Source organism: Homo sapiens, chromosome 17 (assembly GCF_000001405.40).
Source record: "Homo sapiens chromosome 17, GRCh38.p14 Primary Assembly".
Lineage (NCBI taxonomy): Eukaryota > Metazoa > Chordata > Mammalia > Primates > Hominidae > Homo > Homo sapiens.
In genome coordinates, this window is record NC_000017.11 from 27878068 (window position 1) to 27896597 (window position 18530).

Consider the following 18530-nt stretch of genomic DNA (forward strand, 5'->3'; position numbering starts at 1 on the left):
ACCTGAGGAGGGGCCCCCAGCTCAACGGCAGGGGTGCAGACAGGGGCCTGGCTCAGCTTTGGCCCTAGCCTGAAACCCCTCAGCTTGCCCATACCCTGGTGGGGCAGATCTGACCTCATCAACTGTTGTCTAGCAGTGGGGCCAATCCCAGTCACCTTCTCTGAAGAATGACCCCTCCTGGGCAGCTTTGTCTGACTTGACTCTAGGTTCTCAACAGTAGATGACACTCAGGAAGGAGACAACGTATGCTTAGGGAACGTATGGTTTATCAGTTGAGAAGACACACGAGCTTCCACAAATTGATATATTTACTTCATTGCCAGCGGAGTACACTCGCATACATAGATATCTCTGAGTCACTTTAAGTCACATAACTGCAAGGATACAAACAAACACTAGTTCATCCCTGTGGCTGAGTGCCCTTGGGGAATACTCAGATCCCAGTGGGGCTTCTCTCTGCATCTTCTGGCCACTCTGGCCGTTCTCCCTGAGCCCACCCACCTTCTCCCCCTCCCTTCCATTCTTCCACGATGGTAGCAAAGCAGGGAAGTGCCAGTGGAAAGAGACTGCAGGTGCACAGAGGCTTGGACAGGCCAGAGTCCATGGCAGCTGCTTTGGCGTCTCTCCTTGGTTCATGTGGTGGGCACTTCACCACTTCAAGGACACTGTCAACTCCCTGAAGGCAAGGCCCAGGGCTTTGACTTCCCTAGGCATGGAGAGACAGTAGTCAGGAAAAGCAGCTCCTTGGCAGACTGCTGGGTGTGTGACAACTGTGAGGGCTCAGGGGCTACAAGCAGGGACAGGGCAAGCTCGCAAACAAAAAACTGAGACCCGATGCGGTGCATGCGGGGAGCAGAGCTGTGCAGGGCGCTGCAGGAGCAGAGGAGGGGGCGGGGCAGGACGGCTTCCTTGAAGGGAGCCCTTCAGGCACTGTCATGTGCCACATCCTGTGTGAGGCACTTCACCTTCATCTTATTGCATCTGGGATTCAAATCCAGATCTGTCTGGTTCTAAAACCCACGTGCTTTCTTCTGTACAGGTTGCTACCTGAGGGGACATCTGCTCTGGGACTCAGAGAATGATAAAGAGATCTCCAGAATAAATGAATCACTTTCAGAGAAAAGTAAAAGAACAAAAACACAAAAATAAAAAACACACAAAAGAAGCAAAAAAATACTACATTCTCCCCAAATTTCACATCGTAAGTGGCTGGAAGTGCAAACATAAAGGATGCTAGCAACATGGCCGCGGCAAGAGGAGCCTCTGGAGCAAGGTCAGCTTCTCCCCTGATTTCTGGCTTTCAGCCAACAAGGCCAATGGCTCTTCCAAACCAGCTGCTGCTGCTGAGCTCCAGAAGAGGGGCCTCTCAACTTCCAGAGGCCAGGAAGGCTCACCCTCGGAGCTCTCAGTTTTGTTTTTTATACTGCAAGACAGAGAGATTCGAAGTGGAGGAGGGAAGCCAACAGGGGCAGGAGGACTCTGGAGAAATCTCAGGCCTCCATCATCTGGACCTCACCTGCCTCCTGCAGGGGCTTCTTGGAGGTGGTGAAACCCAAGCAGGAGGCACTGGGCAGCCAAATCTCTAGTTCATGCCTGGACTCCCTTTCTTCTTTAGTGAAAAAGGAAGCTGACAGGGCTGGGGAGGGAGGATAGTGATAACTCACTCTGGAGAGTGAGTTAGAAGGACAGGGAGGTATGGTCACACTCCAACTCTCTAGGTCCTTCTAATACCAGCATCTAAGGGCCAAGACGCCAGTCTACATTCCTGACTCACTCCCTTCCTCCACCAAAACATACTGAATGTTTCCTCCATAATTCTGCCCCAGTGTGAATACCCCCCAGAGACAGGGAGTCCCCCGCCAGGACAGCTTCCCTCTCTGCGGCATCACAGTGCCACCGCCGGCTCTGGCACTATAGCTTTCCCTCCTTCTTCCTGCTGCCCCCTCTCAGCTCGATCAGCACTGTTGGGCAGAAATTTGCCTTTAAGGATGAAGAGTGAGAGCCCCTCCCCACTTGCAGAATATAAATGCAACCAGAAGGGATTTGTCTTCACCTTTCAGCTTCTGGAGGAGGGAAGCAGCTGGCTGGTGGCCTCCTCCACAGGGACCATTCTCAACTGTGGGGCAGGAGTGGCCTCTAGTGGTCATGGGGATCACAGCCATCATCACCCCAGCTCGCAGGCAGAGCCCAGGGGCCAAGCACCTACTTTGTTCATGATCCAGTCAGCATCTTCAATGGCTCTTTTAATAATCTGCTGGATTCTCTCAGGGTTGTCTTCATCTGAATGAACCCGAAAACTCTGCAAGTTTAAGCATAAAGAAAGATGACTAGGCAAAATTCCCAGGACAGGCAGCTTCAGAGCACCAATCACAGGCCAGGGACACTGCTGGGCACTTTATACCCAGCAGCTCTCTTCATCCTCCATAGACTGTTATGATTATCCCACACAGAGATGAGGAAACAGAGGCTCACTTGCTGCTGAACAATAGCATTTGAATCCTAGTCTATGTGACTGCAAAGCATGTACTCCTGCCACCAAGGTAGGTGCAAAAAGACTGGCCCCCAAGTTACTGCCAAATCAAGCTAGGCCCAAAGGCTATCAGGCAGTAGAGTCCAAGGGGAAACTTCCATCTCTCTTCCTCAGAAGACGCTGCTTTCCCCAGGGTGAGATCTCTGCATAGGCTTTACAGCAGGGAGGAAGAAGTAGGACTTCTCTCGGCCCAGTGCTAGGAGAGCTACACAGGGAAGGGAGGGGAGGTAGTAGATAGAGTGGCCTCAGGAAATCCACCCAGGCCCAGTGCAGAGCATGGGATACTGTTTGCTTTTGACCAGATATTCATCCTTGAGAAGCAACCTAAGATTCAGGTTTTGCTTTTCAAAAAGAACTGGCACCAGGCATGGTGGCTCATGCCTGTAATCACAGCACTTTGGGAGGCCGAGGCGGGCAGATCACCTCAGGTCGGGAGCTGGAGACCAGCCTGACCAACATGATAAACCCCATCTCTACTAAAAATACAAAGTTAGTCGGGCGTGGTGGCACATGCCTGTAATCCCAGCTACTCGGGAGGCTAAGGGAGGAGAATCGCTTGAACCCAGGAGGCAGAGGTTGTGGTGAGCTGAGATTAAGCCATTGCACTCCAGCCTGGGCAACAAGAGTGAAACTCCATCTCAAAAAAAAAAAAAAAAAAAAAAAAAAAAGAACTGGCACCTCCCTCCCCTGTCACTCCCAGCCCCACACATCCTCCTGCTCATCTTTAGGAGCGCCCCCCGCTCAGCATCCACCTCTGGCATGCCCTCCTTGACTCCCCCAGACAGCTAACTGCTCGTTCTCCATGTTTCCACAGCCCTCTGTGGCTACCGCCACCTCTGATTTTTTTTTTTTTTTACTTTCCATATTATATGTGTATGAATTTTAGCTAACTTTCTATTTGGAAATGATTTCTCACTTACAGAAAGTTGTGATAATAATACAAAGAATTTCCTACCAGAATCACTGACTGTTAACATTTTGCTACACTCGCTTTATCATTCTCTTTATATAAGTATGTATAAATTTTTTCAGAAGCATTTAAGAGTAAGTTGCAGACACGCTATCCTTACCCCTAAACATTCCCATGTGTAGTTCCTAATGACAAGGGCATTCTCTGACATAACCACAGTAATCAAATTCAGAAGACTCAACATTGATACAACTCTATAATCCATAGCCCATATTCCAATTTCATGCACTGCCCCAGTAATATTCATTTTTTTTTTTTGAGGCAGGGTCTCACTCTGTCACCCAGGTGAGAATGCAGTGGCACAATCACAGCTCATTGCAGCCTCGACCTCCGGGCTCAAGCAATCCTCCCACCTCATTGTTTGATTTTTCTGTAGAGACAAGGTCTTTCTATGTTGCCCAGGTTGGTCTTGAACTCCTGAGCTCAATCTGCCTGCCTTAGCTTCCCAAAATGCTGGGATTACAGACATGAGCCACCATGCCTGGTTCCCAATAATATTCTTTACAGCATTTTTTTTCTGGTCTAGGATCATACATTACATTTAGTCACCATATCTCTTGAGTTCTCTAATCCAGAACATCAAAAATGTCAGCGTTGTGTTTCACGACACTGACATTTTTGATGAGTACAGGCCTATTAGTTATGTGGTAGATGGCCTCTCGATTTGGTTTTACCTGATGTTTTCTCAGGATTAAATTCAAGTTGTGCACTGTTGGCAGGGATGCCTGCCTAAATGATGTCGTGTCCCACAGTCTATTTTAATTACCCACTTAGCTGCCTCATGCATGCCCTAGCACAGCTGGTGTGCTGGGTGAGGCACCCTCTGTTTCCTGGACAGAGAGGAGCTGGGCTGCCCAGCACTGGTTTCCTGTGGCTCTTCCCACACTGCCACCTCACCACCATCTCAGAGACTAGCTCTGTGCCCTGGCCTTGGCCTCTGACCTGCGCCCCTAAGCCTGCCATTAGAGGCAGCCCCCAGACCTGGTAGAGCCAGCTCGCACCTGCCTGACAGCATGCTTGTAATGCTGCTGGATGCCCTTGGTCGGCAGCTGCTGGCAACAGCGCAGCAAGTATCGGTAGAGCTGCAGTGGCCTCCGAACCAGTTCTGCTCCTGGCAGCGGGGCCATCCGTGAGACCCTCTGTCCCTGGAAAACAAGCAGGATCACTTCCAGGGCATCAAGCCAAGTTCAGTACTCAGCCCTGACCCCCAGTTCCCAGTACTCTGGGAAGCAAGCTTGGTGCAGTGCAGAGGCCCCTCCTGTCCCATCCCATGGAGCCTGCACCTTGGGGTGGGGTGGGCATTCAGTTCAACAGAAGCTCTAGCCCAGAGCAGGCCCACAAGACCAAAGGTGAGTGTGGAGGGAGACTTACAGCCTCATCCCTGGCGTCTTCTTTCTGGAACTCAACTTCAAGTGGTGCATGAGTAGGTGTCCCTCACCGGCAGGGTAGGGTAGAAAAGCAGGAAGACCCTGAGGGGCAATCACTAGGAAACCAGCTCTGACATCAGCCATGGTCTGGCGAGGGCACCAAGCCACAGAGGGGAGAATGCCTACAGGCCTGAGCCTTGAAATTCAAAGTGTGCTCCTGAACCAGCAAAACCCACAGCATCGGGAGCTCATCACAAATGTAGTCTTGGGCCCCACCCCAAAGACCCACCAGATCAAACCTGCATTTTAACAAGGATGCCAGGAGATTTGCAGGCACATTTTAAAGTCTGAGAAGCATGAATCTAGGGGGCTCTGCAGAGAAGTTGCTGGACAGAGTCACCACAGCGTGGGCACGTGATTTCATTTCACTATGAGTTATCATAAAAATCACAATGGGCTGGGCGTAGTGGCTCACGCCTTTAAGTAGGGCAGATCACTTAAGGTCAGGAGTTTGAGACCAGCATGGCCAACACGGTGAAACCCCGTCTCTACTAAAAATACAAAAATTAGCCAGGCTTAGTGGTGCATGCCTGTAATCCCAGCTACTTGGGAGGCTGAGGCAGGAGGATCACTTAAACCCCAGAAGTGGAAATGGCAGTGAGCCAAGATAGTACGACTGCACTCCAGCCTGGGTGACAAAGCAAGACTCCAACTCAAAAAAAAAAAAAAAGAGAGAGAATCACAATGAGCACTTGTTTGTCTCTATTCACTTTACATGTGATTAATGCACACATAAGAAAACCGGTCACAGAGAGGTCTGATAACTTGCCCAAGATCACACAGCTAATAAAGCTGGAGCTTGGATTTGAACTCTGGCAGTCTGGCTCCAGAGCCTTTTTCTAAAAAAAAAAAAAAAAAAAAAAAAAAAAAAAAAAAGGCTGTATTGAGGTATAGTTGATATATAATGAACTTCATATACTTAAAGTATATAATTTGATAAGTGCTGCCACAGGTACACACCGGAGAAGCCACCGTCATAATCAAGAGAGTTAACATATCTATCATCACCAAAATTTACCGCATACCCTTTGTAATCCCTCCCTCCCGCCCTCCCGACGTCCCCATCCCCAGGCAACCGCTGCATTTTCCAGAGTTTTGTATAAATGGAATTATACAGCAAGCTCTCTTTTGTGTCTACAGAACCCACATTCTTCTCTGTATTAACACTCTCTCTAAAGAACCCACAACTCTAGCTTAACCTCTTCTTTTTTAAAGGAACTATGAGAGTATAGATTGTTTTAAATGGTAGGTTCTAGAACATATGGGCTTGCAAAGCTTTCATCAGGCTCCTGCCTGAACCTCTGCCACAGCATCTGCCTGGTGTCCCAGTACCTAGCCTGTCACTCCAGTCTCCTCCACACTGACACCACGTGAGCTCTGGAATCAGTGTCCTGGGTGCATCCCAGTCAGCCACAGGAACTGCTCCCAGACCCCTCAAACCACCAAATGTGGCGCCTTTCAGTGCACATGCAGCTCCCTGGCCGTGGACTCCTTCCCATCTTCTCCGTGTGAGGAACCTTGTTCATCCTTCCAGGCTCAGCTTAGTGTCCTTCCTCCAGGAAGCCCTTCCTCACGGTCCCTCTCTGGAGACAGAGGTGCTCACCCTGTCCTCTGTGGGGCTGCAGTGCCCCGCTCATGGTGCTGCCAGGGACTCATCTGCTACCTCGCCTGTGGCTCTCCCTGGGCTGAGCGCCTGGCCCGCAGTGGGCTTCACTCACTGTTAACTAAACAGAATGAAGCTACTATCTCCTCTGTACAGAGATGCCCCTTATGTTCCAGATGAAGGAGCTAAAAGAGATCTAGTGACTGGCCTTAGTTTTAAAGGAACATATAAGAAAAAAAAAAAAACCCTCCCCTCACCTTGCAAAAAGAACCAGAAACTAAATCTATCAGATGCCCTTAAACTAAGAAGGGAAGCTTAGGAAGTAGCTGGTTCCAGAGGCTCCTTCATTCCATTTACATCCCATTATCTCCTCGGCAACAATAAATGTGTCTCCTCAGCTACGTTAGCCAATTCCTCCTGGTTCCCTGGATTCTTGCTCTGATGCTGGAGTGGATAGGTGGTTGTCTGACCCCCACCATCTATTCTCCCTTCTAGTAACAGCCCCAATGTGTGATCTGGGGTGCACCCCTCCCCAGGTCTTGGCCCAGAAGGTCTGAGTGGGACTATCAGAGCCCTGCATCCACATGGATATAAGGACTAGCTCACACACGGGCACGTGCCAAAAGCTAGTCCAACCAGAGTGCATCGCAACACCTCTGCAGAAGTGGCGTGAAAGGACTCTAGCTCCTTCCCACTAAACTTGATGCTGGGAGGATTTGATCCTCTCTCAGTGAAGCCACCTTGCCTCCTCTAGAAGCCTGAGACCATAGCCACATAGCAGAAGGCAGAGCTGAGACCCTGAGAAAAAAACAAGCCCAAATAACGTATTTGGGCCAGGGGTGATGGCTCACGCCTGTAATCCCAGCACTTTGGCAGGCTGCGATGGGTGGATTGCTTGAAGCCAGGAGTTTGAGACCAACCTGAGCAACACAGGGAGACCCTGTCTCTACAAAAAATAAAAAATTAACTGGGCATGGTGGCATGCGCCTGTAGTCCCAGCTACTCAAGAGGCTGTGATGGGAGGATCACTTCAGCCTCGACTGCAGTGAGCTGTGATCACACCACGGCACTCAGCCCGGATGACACAAAGTGAAACTCTGTCTCAAAAAAAAAAAAAAAAAAAAAAAAAAGAATTCATTTGGGCCCTAAAACCATCTACCTGAAGGAAGTCCTTCCCCTAGACTTCTCAATGATCTGGGCCAATTAATCCCCTTTCACCAAAGCAGCTGGGGTTTGTTTTGTCACTTGTATCTCAAAGGGTACTAACTGATGGACAGATCCTCACAAATTCTTCCACAATGCAATCTGATGACTCCAGCTGTAAGGCAGAGTCGGACAGGACAGGGCTTCTCAAGTTCCTCCTGCTATCAATCATGACCATGCCAGTCCGACTCACCACCCAGAAATCAGAGGGGAACCCGTTCAAGGGTGGCCAAGACCATCAGGAGCAACCACAGGAGACATACCACCAAAGTCCCAAACCTGATGGGTAGACTCCACTGGCAGGCTTCCCCAAACTATATAAAGTAGTAATCAAATATTGTAAAATGCTAGTCGCGGAACAGATGGTTACCATCTGCAGTCCTCAAAATTAACATTTGGAAAGAGCACAACTTTGTTTCATTACTTAAAAACTCAAGCAATACTTAGTAACCAACCCAGCAAGTATGGGCGGCAGATTATTTTCAGCTCAATTATAATACTTAGTCATTCTCAGTAATAACTAGTAGAGAATACATGTGTGGGTCCACTTAGAAGAGCTAAACTAAAAATGTTTTAATTTAATTTAAAGCGTAGGTTTGCTATTATTTAAGGGGCAATGAACCTCACAGCATCATTGCTAAAACTGCAGTCAATGCCTCTGGGCCTGGCAACACTTGCCTCCCTTGCCCTGCCCTTTGGACTTGATCTTGGCCTCTGCATCCTGGCTCCCTGCCTCTGTGATGGCTCCTCCATCTTCCCAGGCAACCAAACCAAAATCATCACAGTCAACCCAGGTTCCTCCTTCTCCTCAATCCCCATGCCACTGGTTTCTTTCTTTTCTTTTCTTTTTTTATTTTTTTTTTTTTGAGACAGAGTTTCGCTCTTGTTGCCCAGGCTGGAGTGCAATGGCGCAATCTCGACCGCAACCTCCGCCTCCTGGGTTTAAGCAATTCTCCTGCCTCAGCCTCCTGAGTAGCTGGGATTACAGGTGCATGCCACCACACCCAGCTAATTTTCGTATTTTTAGTAGAGATGGGGTTTCTCCCTGTTGGTCAGGCTGGTCTCAAACTCCCGACCTCAGGTGATCCACCCACCTTGGCCTCCCAAAGTGCTAGGATTACAGGCGTGAGCCACCACACCCGGCCCCATGCCACTGGTTTCTAATTCCTATCAAATTCCACCTCTGAATGCCCCTCATATTTTTCCCTTCCTCTCTACTCCACTGCATACCCTTGGTTCAGACTCTCTCTGAGACAACTGCAACAGCCCCTAGCTGGTCTCCCTGTCTTCCAGTCCATTTTCTGCCATCCTTCTCTGCCCAACAGCCAGAGTGAATCTTTCTAAAACATAAATCTCAAAGTGTCCTGTCCTTCCTAAAACCCCTAATATCCACCCCTGCCCCCATCATTCATGGCAACTTTTCCCAAAATGTAGAACAAATACCTGAAATTACTTTAAGTAGTATACAGCCAGTATTTTTTATTGTAATGATTTTATATTTATTTTCATGTGTAATGAGGGGGGAAAAACACGTTTTCATAGGTATTAATGGCCTAAAGCAGTTTTTTCAAATGCTCATAAAACTGATTTTTTATGTATCAAATTGAAATGTGGACCCGGCAAAAATCATGAGGGTCCTGAAGTGTGGAAAGCACTGGTCTACAGAATAAAATCCAGGCTCCTGTCCATGGCCTGCAAGGCCCCTCTCGATCTGGCCCCTACCTACCCCTCATCTGCACCTCTCACCACCCACAGCCTAGTCCAGGCAAACTGAGCCCTGTATGGCACACTCCACAACAGCCCATGCTGTGTTTGCCTGTTATGGTCTCAGCACTGGGGCAGAATGTCTGGCATGGAGTAGATGTACTTACTCATTGGGGTTCTCCAGAGAAACAGAACCTATAGGAGGGAGGGTGTGTGTGTGTGTGTGTGTGTGTGTGTGTGTGTGTGTGTGTGTGTCAGAGAGAGACAGAGGTTTATTACCATGAACTGGCTCATGCAATTATGGAGATTGGCAAGTCCAAAATCTGCAGAGCCAATGTCCCAGTTCAAGCACAAAGGCTGGAAGCTGCTGTAGAACCAGGAAGAGCTGATGTCCCAGTTTGAAAGCCACAGGCAAGAGAATTCTCTTACTCAGGGGAGGCTTAGACTTTTCGTTTAAGGCCTTCAATGGATTGGAAAAGGCTCACCCATATTATAGAGGGCTGTGTGCTTTACTCCATCGAACAATTTAAATGTTAATCTCACCCGCATTGAAACACCCAGAATAATGTTTGACCAAATACCTGGGCCTCCTGTGGCCCAGCCAAGTTGACACATAAAATTAACTATCCTGGTAGACATTCAATTTCTATTTTGAACGAATCCTCCTACTTCTGCCTACAGTGCTCCTCTCTGCTTCCTGAATACCTCCTGCCTCTTCCACACTCAGCTCTGTGGTCTGGCATCTCCTCCTCAGTGCCACCATGCTCAGTGGGAGGCCTGTGGTTACCTTGAAACAGCCTTCATCACCCCTCATTACTCTAGGTCAGGCCTCTAGTTCAGGCTCTTGCTGGGGTTGCTGGAAGGGTATCCACCTGCCCTCAGGCCCCACCAGCCATTCTCCATATGGTGGTCACAGTGATTTACCAACTTCCTGAATGAAAATCTTCACTGGATGTGAAACGATAGTGTGAATTATGAATTTTCTTGGGTTATAAGACCGATGTGGTTATGTGGGAGAATCACTTTACTCTCAGGAGACGCAGGCAGAAGGATTTAGAGGTGACATGTCATCAGGTCTGCAGCCTCCTTTCAAATAGTTCAGCAAAAGACAGCACAGAGAGAAGAGTGAGGAAGATGAAGAAATGCAGCAGAATGTTCAGATCACGTTTAGATGGTAGGCATTAAGGGTGAACACCATGCTGTTATTTTAACTTCCATATATTTGGAAAATTTTCCTAATAAAAAATCGCTTTAAAAACACACCTGGCAGGAAGTCACCCAGCTTTTCTCCCTACATGTGCTCCAAGTGGCAGGAAACTCACAAGTCCCCCATTTTCGCTCTGCTCAAGCTATTGGAAAGTCCCTCCAGTTCTGAGTTAAAATTCCCCGCTGTAAAGTTCTACTCACTCCACAAAGAGCTCTACTCTTTGGGACAAAATCTTCCCTCACCTCCTCCCAAGCCCAGCTTTTCATTATTCACAGTCAACTATCCCAGCCCCTCCCTAGTCCCTTTTCCAATGTAAGCAGCGGGGAGGTGCTGTCGCCTCTCAAAGTGTCTCTGTCCCACTTGCCCTCCTCTCAACACACGTACCTTTATTTTTGATACCACTCTTAAACCTGCTGTCCCATGGGAAAACAACAGTTTGGCCATGCTCTGACCAACTCCACAGGCAGTGGCCCTGTCACCTCCTTTGACCTGGGAATTCAAGGAATGCAGCTCAGACTGCTTCTCTGCTGGGGCCCTCACGTGGCCCTGGCATTTGGCTCAAAGGCATTTTTCCATGTGCTGCTCTTTTTTTCTTTTTTCTTTTTTTTTTTTTGAGACGGCATTTCGCTCTCGTTCCCCAGGCTGTAGTGCAATGGCGCAATCTTGGCTCACTGCAACCTCTGCCTCCCGGGTTCAAGCAATTCTCCTGCCTCAGCCTCCCCAGTAGCTGGGATTACATGTCCATGCCACGATGCCCGGCTAATTTTTCTATTTTTAGTAGAGACGGAGTTTCGCCATGTCGGCCAGTCTCAAACTCCTGACCTCAGGTGATCCACCTGCCTTGGCCTCCCAAAGTGCTGTGATTATAGGTGTGAGCCACTGCACCCGGCTCCATGAGCTGTTCTTAAGTCTCTTTCCCCATCTTTTATTTTATGAGGTCATTCCAGAGTCACAATCTGCCACCATCCTTAGGGGGGTCTGTTATATCAACTCAATTCAACAAAATAAGAGCACAGAAACAGTCACACCCCAGGTAAACACAGGGTAAAGACAAAGAGAAAGACAGTAACCCTATATACTGTAAGCATCAGTCAACTACGCCATGCCATTCAGAGCATCTAGCACCTGTACAACTCTGGACCCAGCCCTAGGACCACAGAGATGAACAGTCTGGTGTACCTAGCTCTCTGACCCAGAGCCTTCTGCAAAGCCGATGGCTCCCATCCAGGGAATGAGTAGGACATGCCAAGTTTGAGAGCTTTTCATGTTACCTCATTTAATCCTCACAACAATATTTTAAGGGAGGTATCATTAGTCCCATTTTATAGATGAGGAAACTGAGGCCCTGAGAGGTTAAGTAATTTGCCAAGAGCAACAAGGCTAGTATAGAGCAAGGCCCGGAATAGAACCTAGGTCTATTTGATTCCAAAGACTATGCCCTTATCTGCTTCGTGAATCTACCTGCTATGTCTGAGCCACTCATAAAAATACTGACCAGATCAGGGCTAAGGACCCCACAAAGAACTCTGGCAGGGTTCATGCATGACCAGGTTCAAGCACTTATAAAGGCACTTGACTGCACTATTATCCAGTACTCCTCAATCTTCTCTACAAAACCTTGCTCCATGCCTTTCTGAAACCCAAGGACATCGTCTGCAGCTTCCCCCTGCATATAGATGGAAAAAAAAAATCAAAAGAAAGAAAGAGTCACCAGGCTGACATCAATTACACAGATAAAGGAAAGGAGCAACTAAAGAAATGCTTAACAACAAAGCTCTTACCAAATCCAAAGGAGAATATGACAGAATTTTTAAAAAGAGAAAATAAAGCTACAAAGGGAATTTCCTGGAAGCCAAGTGTTATCACTGGCACAGATGTTGAGAAGCAGGCCCACAGTCCCATTTAACCCCACTGTCCTTTTCCCTAATCTATGTCCCGATATAGGCACCTAAAAATAAGTGGGAAAAAGTCATATATTAAAAAAAGACGAAAGAATGGAACTGCAGAAAATAACCAGAAATTATGCCCTATTGAGCACTGATACACGCTAAATTAAGCCTGCACAGGCCATTTTTTAAATATGCAATTACTCTTCTTGAAGGGAAAAGTTGAAAAATAGGAATGGAGTGGTTTTGCTTCCCACCCCCACCCACTCCAGGGCTCCATCTTGCACATCTGTGTTCTCCCAAGCTAGCAATGGGGCAGCAATCCCTGCCTCCCCCAGTCCCTCTCCTACATAGCCAAGGCTCTAAAGTCCCCTCACCCCCTCCCTGCCCCCTTCATCCCTGTTGGCATTACCTTGGTTCCCAGCTTTGTACCCATACCTGGCTGGGACTATCCGAATACCTCCTGATCTGTCTCCCTCCTTCCAGCCCAATCCACATGGTGCCACCCAAGAACACTTCCTAAAAAGCACACCCTGTCACTCCCCTTCCTCAGAACCTCTGTAGAGAGTTCTCTACCCATGGCCTTCTGAGATCTGTTTCAATCCCTCTCATCAGTCTCCCCTCCTGCTGTCCTTCCCACACTTCCTGCATTTTAGCCACAGACTGAACTTGGAGGACTCTGGGATCAGACAGTCTGGGTTCAAATCCTGGTTCTATCACCTGCTAGTTCTAGGACCCTGGACGAGTTTCTTAACTTCTATCTCGAAGTCTGTTCCCCATCTGTCAATGCGGTCCCTAATAAATAGTATTTCCTACATAGGACTGTTGTAAGGATGAAATAACGCTCCTAGACTACTAAGCATGATGCCTGGCACACACTACATGTTTCCTACTAACTGTTATTGTTAATACCATCTCTGAAACATGCTGTGCTTTCCCCTACCTTGACTTCTTCACCTGCCTCAAGAATTCCCCTTCATCCTTAGAGATCCAGTTCCCTGTCACCTCCTTCAGGCTTTCATCCCATGCTGTTCACACCCCTATTACAGTCATCACACTGCTCTGTAATCACTTATTGTGATTATAATCGATGTGACAGAACTTAGAGCAGGTTTTGGAGACAAAGAACCCTAGTTTAAAAGCCTACCTCTGCTATCTACTAGCTGTGTAATCCTGGCCAACCTGGTTGACTTCTCTGGACTTCTGCTTCCCCCACTGTAAACTGGAGAAAAGAATAACCCACCTCACAGGGGTTTTGTAAAGACCAACCTAGCTAACTTATGGAAAGTGCCTAGCACAGGGGCTGGCACATCTTAAGTGCTTGAACATCTTTTTTTTTTTTTTTTTGTCCTGAGACAGGGTCTCACTCTGTCACCCAGGCTGGAGTACAGTAGCATGATCAGGGATCACTGCAGTCACAACTGCCCGGGCTCAAACGATTCTACCTCAGCCTCTCAAGTGGCCGGGATCACAGGCACACGCCACCACGTCTGGCTAATTTTTTTAATTATTTATAGAAACGAAGTCTTACTATGTTGCCCAGGCTGGTCTCAAAATTCTAGGCTCAAGTGATCCTCTTTCCTCAGCCTCCTACGGTGCTGAGATTATGGGCATGAGCCACTGCGCCCAGCGTTGAACATCTTACCCTTTCCTACTTTATTTGGCTTTCTGTTCCTTGCTGACTGTAAGCTTCTGAAGAACAAGAAACTATACTGTATTAGTTCAACACCTGTGAAATGAAGGGAAATTAGTAAGAAAAATATATATACGGTTATTAGTCACTCCTCCACAGTTTATAGTACCTGAACCATAACAGAAGTTCCATAGATGTCAATTGATTCCCAAGTTACCAGAGGAAACTAAAGCCAGCAGGAAACTGTCCTGAAGTCAAGAACCTATGGCAGGTGAACCCAGAAAACATTACGCTAAGTGAACAAACCCAGTCACAAGGGGCTACTTAATGTATGATTCCATTTATACGAAACATCCAGAATAGGCAAAAGTACAGAGACAGAAGTACATTGGTGGTTGCCTAGGGCTGGGAGAATGGGAGTAGATGGGAGGGGGGAGTGACAGCTAAAGGAGGTGTTTCTTTTGGGGGGTAATGTTCTAAAACATTATGGTGACAGCTGCACAACTCTGCAAACACACTAAAAGACACTGAATTGTGCACTTTAGATGGGTGAACTGTATGCTTCGTGAATTATATCTCAATAAAACTTTTTAAAACAATAACCACAAAAAGGATCAATCCTAGGAGCGAAAGGGTTTTGGCCACGGAGCAACTTGCTCTTACGCAGAAGCATAAATCATCACGACAAGGTTGCTCCGGCCACCGGGTGCCGCGGGCAGAGGGACGGTGGAGGGGACATTCTCCTTTTAAAAGTGGCCAGGCCCGTGAGCCTCTGAGAGGCTGGCCTCCGGGCTGCCCCGGACCTCGCGCCCCTAGCTCGCGCTGCAGGCCTTTCCTGCTCCTCCGAGGCCGCCCGGCCAGGCCTGCGTCAAGCCCGGGCGCCGCGCTCCGGTGCACTCAGCTCTCCGGTGGAAGAGCGCAGACCGCAAGGGAAAAGGTGCCGGCGCGGGTCGCCCCTAGGTCTTCAATAGATCCGAGGACACCCGAGGCCTCCACATCCCTAGCCCGCCCCCGCCACCCAGTGGCTCCGGCCGCCGCTGCCCCCGCGCCCCCGCCCTCGGCCTCGGCCTGCGCAGCGCGGCTCACCAGCCTCCAGGGGAACGCCAGCCCCGGACGCCGCCGCGGCGACGAGTGCGCCTGCGCCCCGGGGACTGAGCGGCACCGCCCCTGCCCGGCGACGGTGAGCCCAGCGCCCTCTGCCGGCCGCGCGCGGGACTCGGGGTCCTACTGGGTGCCTCTTCCTAGATCCGACCCCACCCAGTTGAAAGCTGTCCCCACTAACAGCCTTCGTTACCTGTTACCTCAAACACCCACTCTGCCTTCTGGCTGTTGCTACGCCGGATATAAGCCCTAAAGGCACTCTCTCCTCCTTATTCCTGAATATGGATTGTGCTATGAATATGGGGTGTTCAAGATCTCTGAAAGGCTTGCTGGAGGACTTTTCCTGAACCTCTCGTGTTGATGACAAGAATTGTGTTTGGATAGGAATCTGCGTTTTGAATCATTTCACCAAATTACAGTCCCATAACACCTGTCAAAAGAATAAATATGACAGTAATAAGCATGCTTCCTTTCAGACCCATCTATAATTATAATTGAGGAAAATAATACAAAATTTAAACTTAGAGCTACTGCCAGTATCATTCTTTGAAAATGAAATAATGCTGTTTATTAAATAGGCTCTCCCTGCTCTCTAATGTTTAAAGCTCAAGTGCTTCTCTGAATTGATTTAAATACAAGTTTTATATCCTGAAAGAAATCAAGATGAGTCATTATCTTAAGACAAACCCCCCTGTTCAATGATGCTGCTGATCTCTCAGCTGATGTCTAAGCGGGAGTTAGGTTGTTAGTGGATAATATTGCTTCTGTTCACGTCTCTCTTCTCCAGGGCTTTTTAAACCTGTTTGTAACGAAAAGGCTGATTTCCTTCAGACTCCATGTGTCGTTGATTTAACAGGACAACTTCTTACAGGTTTTTCTTTTTCCTTTTTCTTTTTTTTTTTTTAAGTAAAACATTGCTCCCCGGTGGCACCTGGGAATCTGTTTTTCTTCTCTTAGGATAAGAGAAGCAGGGATATTTCTTAACGGAAGTTTTGTTTTGTTCCTAACTCCCTTTAGAGCTTCCTCTTTTCTTTTTTTTTCTCTTCACCTAACATACTAGACTTCCCTCAAATCGGGGGTGGGGGATGGGAAGGTGGGGTTCCCTCCCTTGAAATATTCAGATAATTGCTTCCATTTATTTTAAAGATGTAGACTTGGACAAATATATCTGAAAGATACAATTGTACCCTCATAAATCAGCCCTCTTATTTACACATGCATAATCAAGGGCACGTCATTAATGCAGAGCCAATCAATAAATCATTAAGCTTTTAAAGCCCTTATTAAGAACAATCTGCAGTAACATCATCCACTCCTGTGCTCAGTCTTAGGATCATTTAATAATTTTAAGAAATTTCACAGTCTGTTCTGTAGTCTCATCTCCCTTTTGTTCCTAGATAGCTGTATTCCTGCATCAGAAACATGGTTCTAATACCTAGATCTCATAAAATATTGAAGATGCAAGCTGTTTGCTTTACCTCTGAAAGGCTCCACCTTCAGAATCACTTGTGCCTCTTCCAATTTTACAAACGCACAAGATTTTAACTTTCACAACAATTTCTTATAAACATCCAAATACTAAGAAAAAAAAATCCAAAGTAGGAGAGATTTGAACAATAATCTCTAATTTTTTTTCCAAGTCACAATGGAAACCTAGATTTGAAAATAATTGAATTTGAACCTTTCAACTTGACAGCAACCTTAGGTTCTTACAGCTTCAATAGTAAAATGAAATAATTTTTACTAGTCCAAACATTCACTTAAAATGACACCAGTCTCATAATCTGATAAAACCCCAACCATTTTTACCATGTCATTTTCCTATACACTGAAATTTTAGCAGATGAACCCCCTTATGTCAGACAGTGCATGATATTTACAGATAAACAAAATAGAAAGACCTTTTACTTGAGAAATTAGTCACCCACTGTCCAGGGGACATGTTCGCACAGGGGAGTTTATTGACTTTCCTAAGAAATACACCACATTCTCTTGATTTCTGACATTATGTCATTTAGCCTGACAACTGCAGATTTGTAACCAGTATTTGTAGGGAAAGATACAAGAAGTCCTGACGTTTCCAGTTTAAACCTGTTTTTAGATTTCAAAGAGAAATGATAACGTTTGCATCCTCTGATTAAATCAGGTTATTGTCTCCAAGGGTGACCATGTAAATAATTCAAATTAATTCATCAGTGTACAATAGGTTTAATAAGCATAATAAACACTTTTAAGAAAATACTTAAGACCCTCGGTCTGCCCTCGATCTTGCTCCCTATTATCTCAGATTTCCCTGAGAACAGAATGAGTGGTACCACGTTGTTCTCTTCTATTCAAAATATGCAAAGCTGCTATTTACCAGCTTGCAATTTGCATGTCTCAAATCCTGCCAGAACACAGGGTGAGGGCCATGGGGTGATGGGTGAATATGCCAGAAGAGGACACCAGGGGCGAAAATGGAAAATGGGGTGAACAGATTTTCCTTACCCCAGCGTATTGCAAAACACAACTCTTGCTGACTACTCAAGATTTAAGACAATAAAAATATTGGGTATGAAAGGTTATGTGAAATCTCAGACATCTAGTTTGTTTTTCTTTAATTGCTGGGCAAAAGAAAGGGATGAGCAAGGATTTCAATATTTTTATAAAAGGGAACACAAGAGGAAAAAGGGTACAATTGTGACTATTTACAACATACACTTGGAGATTAATTTATGGGCTGGGTTTCAGCCTTCCTGGTCCTCCATACTATGTTACTTTCTGCAGCACCATAAATCCAACTTTGCTGACTGGTATATGTCATTCTCTGTTTCTAGTGTGTTCTGTAGTAATTTATTAACAGTGACCACATGTGAAACCACATTGGTGATCAGATGTATGTTATCTCTGAATATGTCCCCACTTTTTTTATCTCTTGAAAATATGTTCTATGTCTCATGATTTCAAATTGTAAATAACATACACACATACACATAATGTTTTGTATGAATCACCTTTGGAATGGAATTTCTTTTTCATAAAAATTTCAAGTGCATGCTGGATGTGTATGTGGCAATATTACCAAAGGAGTGAATGCGCTTGGGAACATTCTTCTTTTTTGCATTTTGACAGCATTTGACTAAAGATCCACTTAAAATTACCTTGCTCACAAAGTGTAATTCTGTTTCCACTGACTATATCTGCAGTGTCTTGAGATGTCCAGAGACAAGAATTACATGCCACCATTAATAGGAATGGAGACGGTAAGAAATAATCAACTTTATTAA

The 18530-nt window shown here is 46.7% G+C and overlaps 1 protein-coding gene across 5 annotated transcripts, besides 5 other annotated features; it reads right to left on the bottom strand.

The window, feature by feature from the left end:
* Positions 1-290: 290 nt before the first annotated feature.
* On the bottom strand, positions 291-15298 carry LYRM9 (LYR motif containing 9). 5 transcript variants are annotated; one of them, XM_047435562.1, is made up of 6 exons: positions 15250-15298; positions 14176-14259; positions 4872-4906; positions 4502-4645; positions 2207-2299; positions 291-1423 (listed from the first exon to the last, which is right to left on the bottom strand). In XM_047435562.1, exons 4-6 carry the CDS (start codon positions 4625-4627, stop codon positions 1406-1408), a joined length of 237 nt encoding a protein of 78 aa, XP_047291518.1. In that variant the 5' UTR covers positions 4628-4645; positions 4872-4906; positions 14176-14259; positions 15250-15298; the 3' UTR covers positions 291-1405. The 5 variants fall into 5 exon arrangements, with proteins under 5 accessions (XP_047291518.1, XP_047291519.1, XP_011522793.1 ...); XM_047435563.1 differs by lacking the exon at positions 14176-14259; XM_011524491.4 differs by lacking the exons at positions 4872-4906; positions 14176-14259; positions 15250-15298 and adding exons at positions 2054-2116; positions 11029-11135.
* Positions 3898-4588: an enhancer, noted in NCBI's record as "H3K27ac hESC enhancer chr17:26208991-26209681 (GRCh37/hg19 assembly coordinates)". NCBI's record gives its function as "activates a minimal SCP1, AML or CMV promoter by ChIP-STARR-seq in naive H9 embryonic stem cells {active_cell/tissue: H9 hESC(naive)}" and the evidence as "EXISTENCE:reporter gene assay evidence [ECO:0000049][PMID:30033119]".
* Positions 7499-7648: a silencer, noted in NCBI's record as "silent region_8330". NCBI's record gives its function as "represses an Ori minimal core promoter by ATAC-STARR-seq in GM12878 lymphoblastoid cells {active_cell/tissue: GM12878}" and the evidence as "EXISTENCE:reporter gene assay evidence [ECO:0000049][PMID:35858748]".
* Positions 10016-10967: an enhancer, noted in NCBI's record as "H3K27ac-H3K4me1 hESC enhancer chr17:26215109-26216060 (GRCh37/hg19 assembly coordinates)". NCBI's record gives its function as "activates a minimal SCP1, AML or CMV promoter by ChIP-STARR-seq in naive H9 embryonic stem cells {active_cell/tissue: H9 hESC(naive)}" and the evidence as "EXISTENCE:reporter gene assay evidence [ECO:0000049][PMID:30033119]".
* Positions 10968-11919: an enhancer, noted in NCBI's record as "H3K27ac-H3K4me1 hESC enhancer chr17:26216061-26217012 (GRCh37/hg19 assembly coordinates)". NCBI's record gives its function as "activates a minimal SCP1, AML or CMV promoter by ChIP-STARR-seq in naive H9 embryonic stem cells {active_cell/tissue: H9 hESC(naive)}" and the evidence as "EXISTENCE:reporter gene assay evidence [ECO:0000049][PMID:30033119]".
* Positions 14930-15479: a silencer, noted in NCBI's record as "silent region_8331". NCBI's record gives its function as "represses an Ori minimal core promoter by ATAC-STARR-seq in GM12878 lymphoblastoid cells {active_cell/tissue: GM12878}" and the evidence as "EXISTENCE:reporter gene assay evidence [ECO:0000049][PMID:35858748]".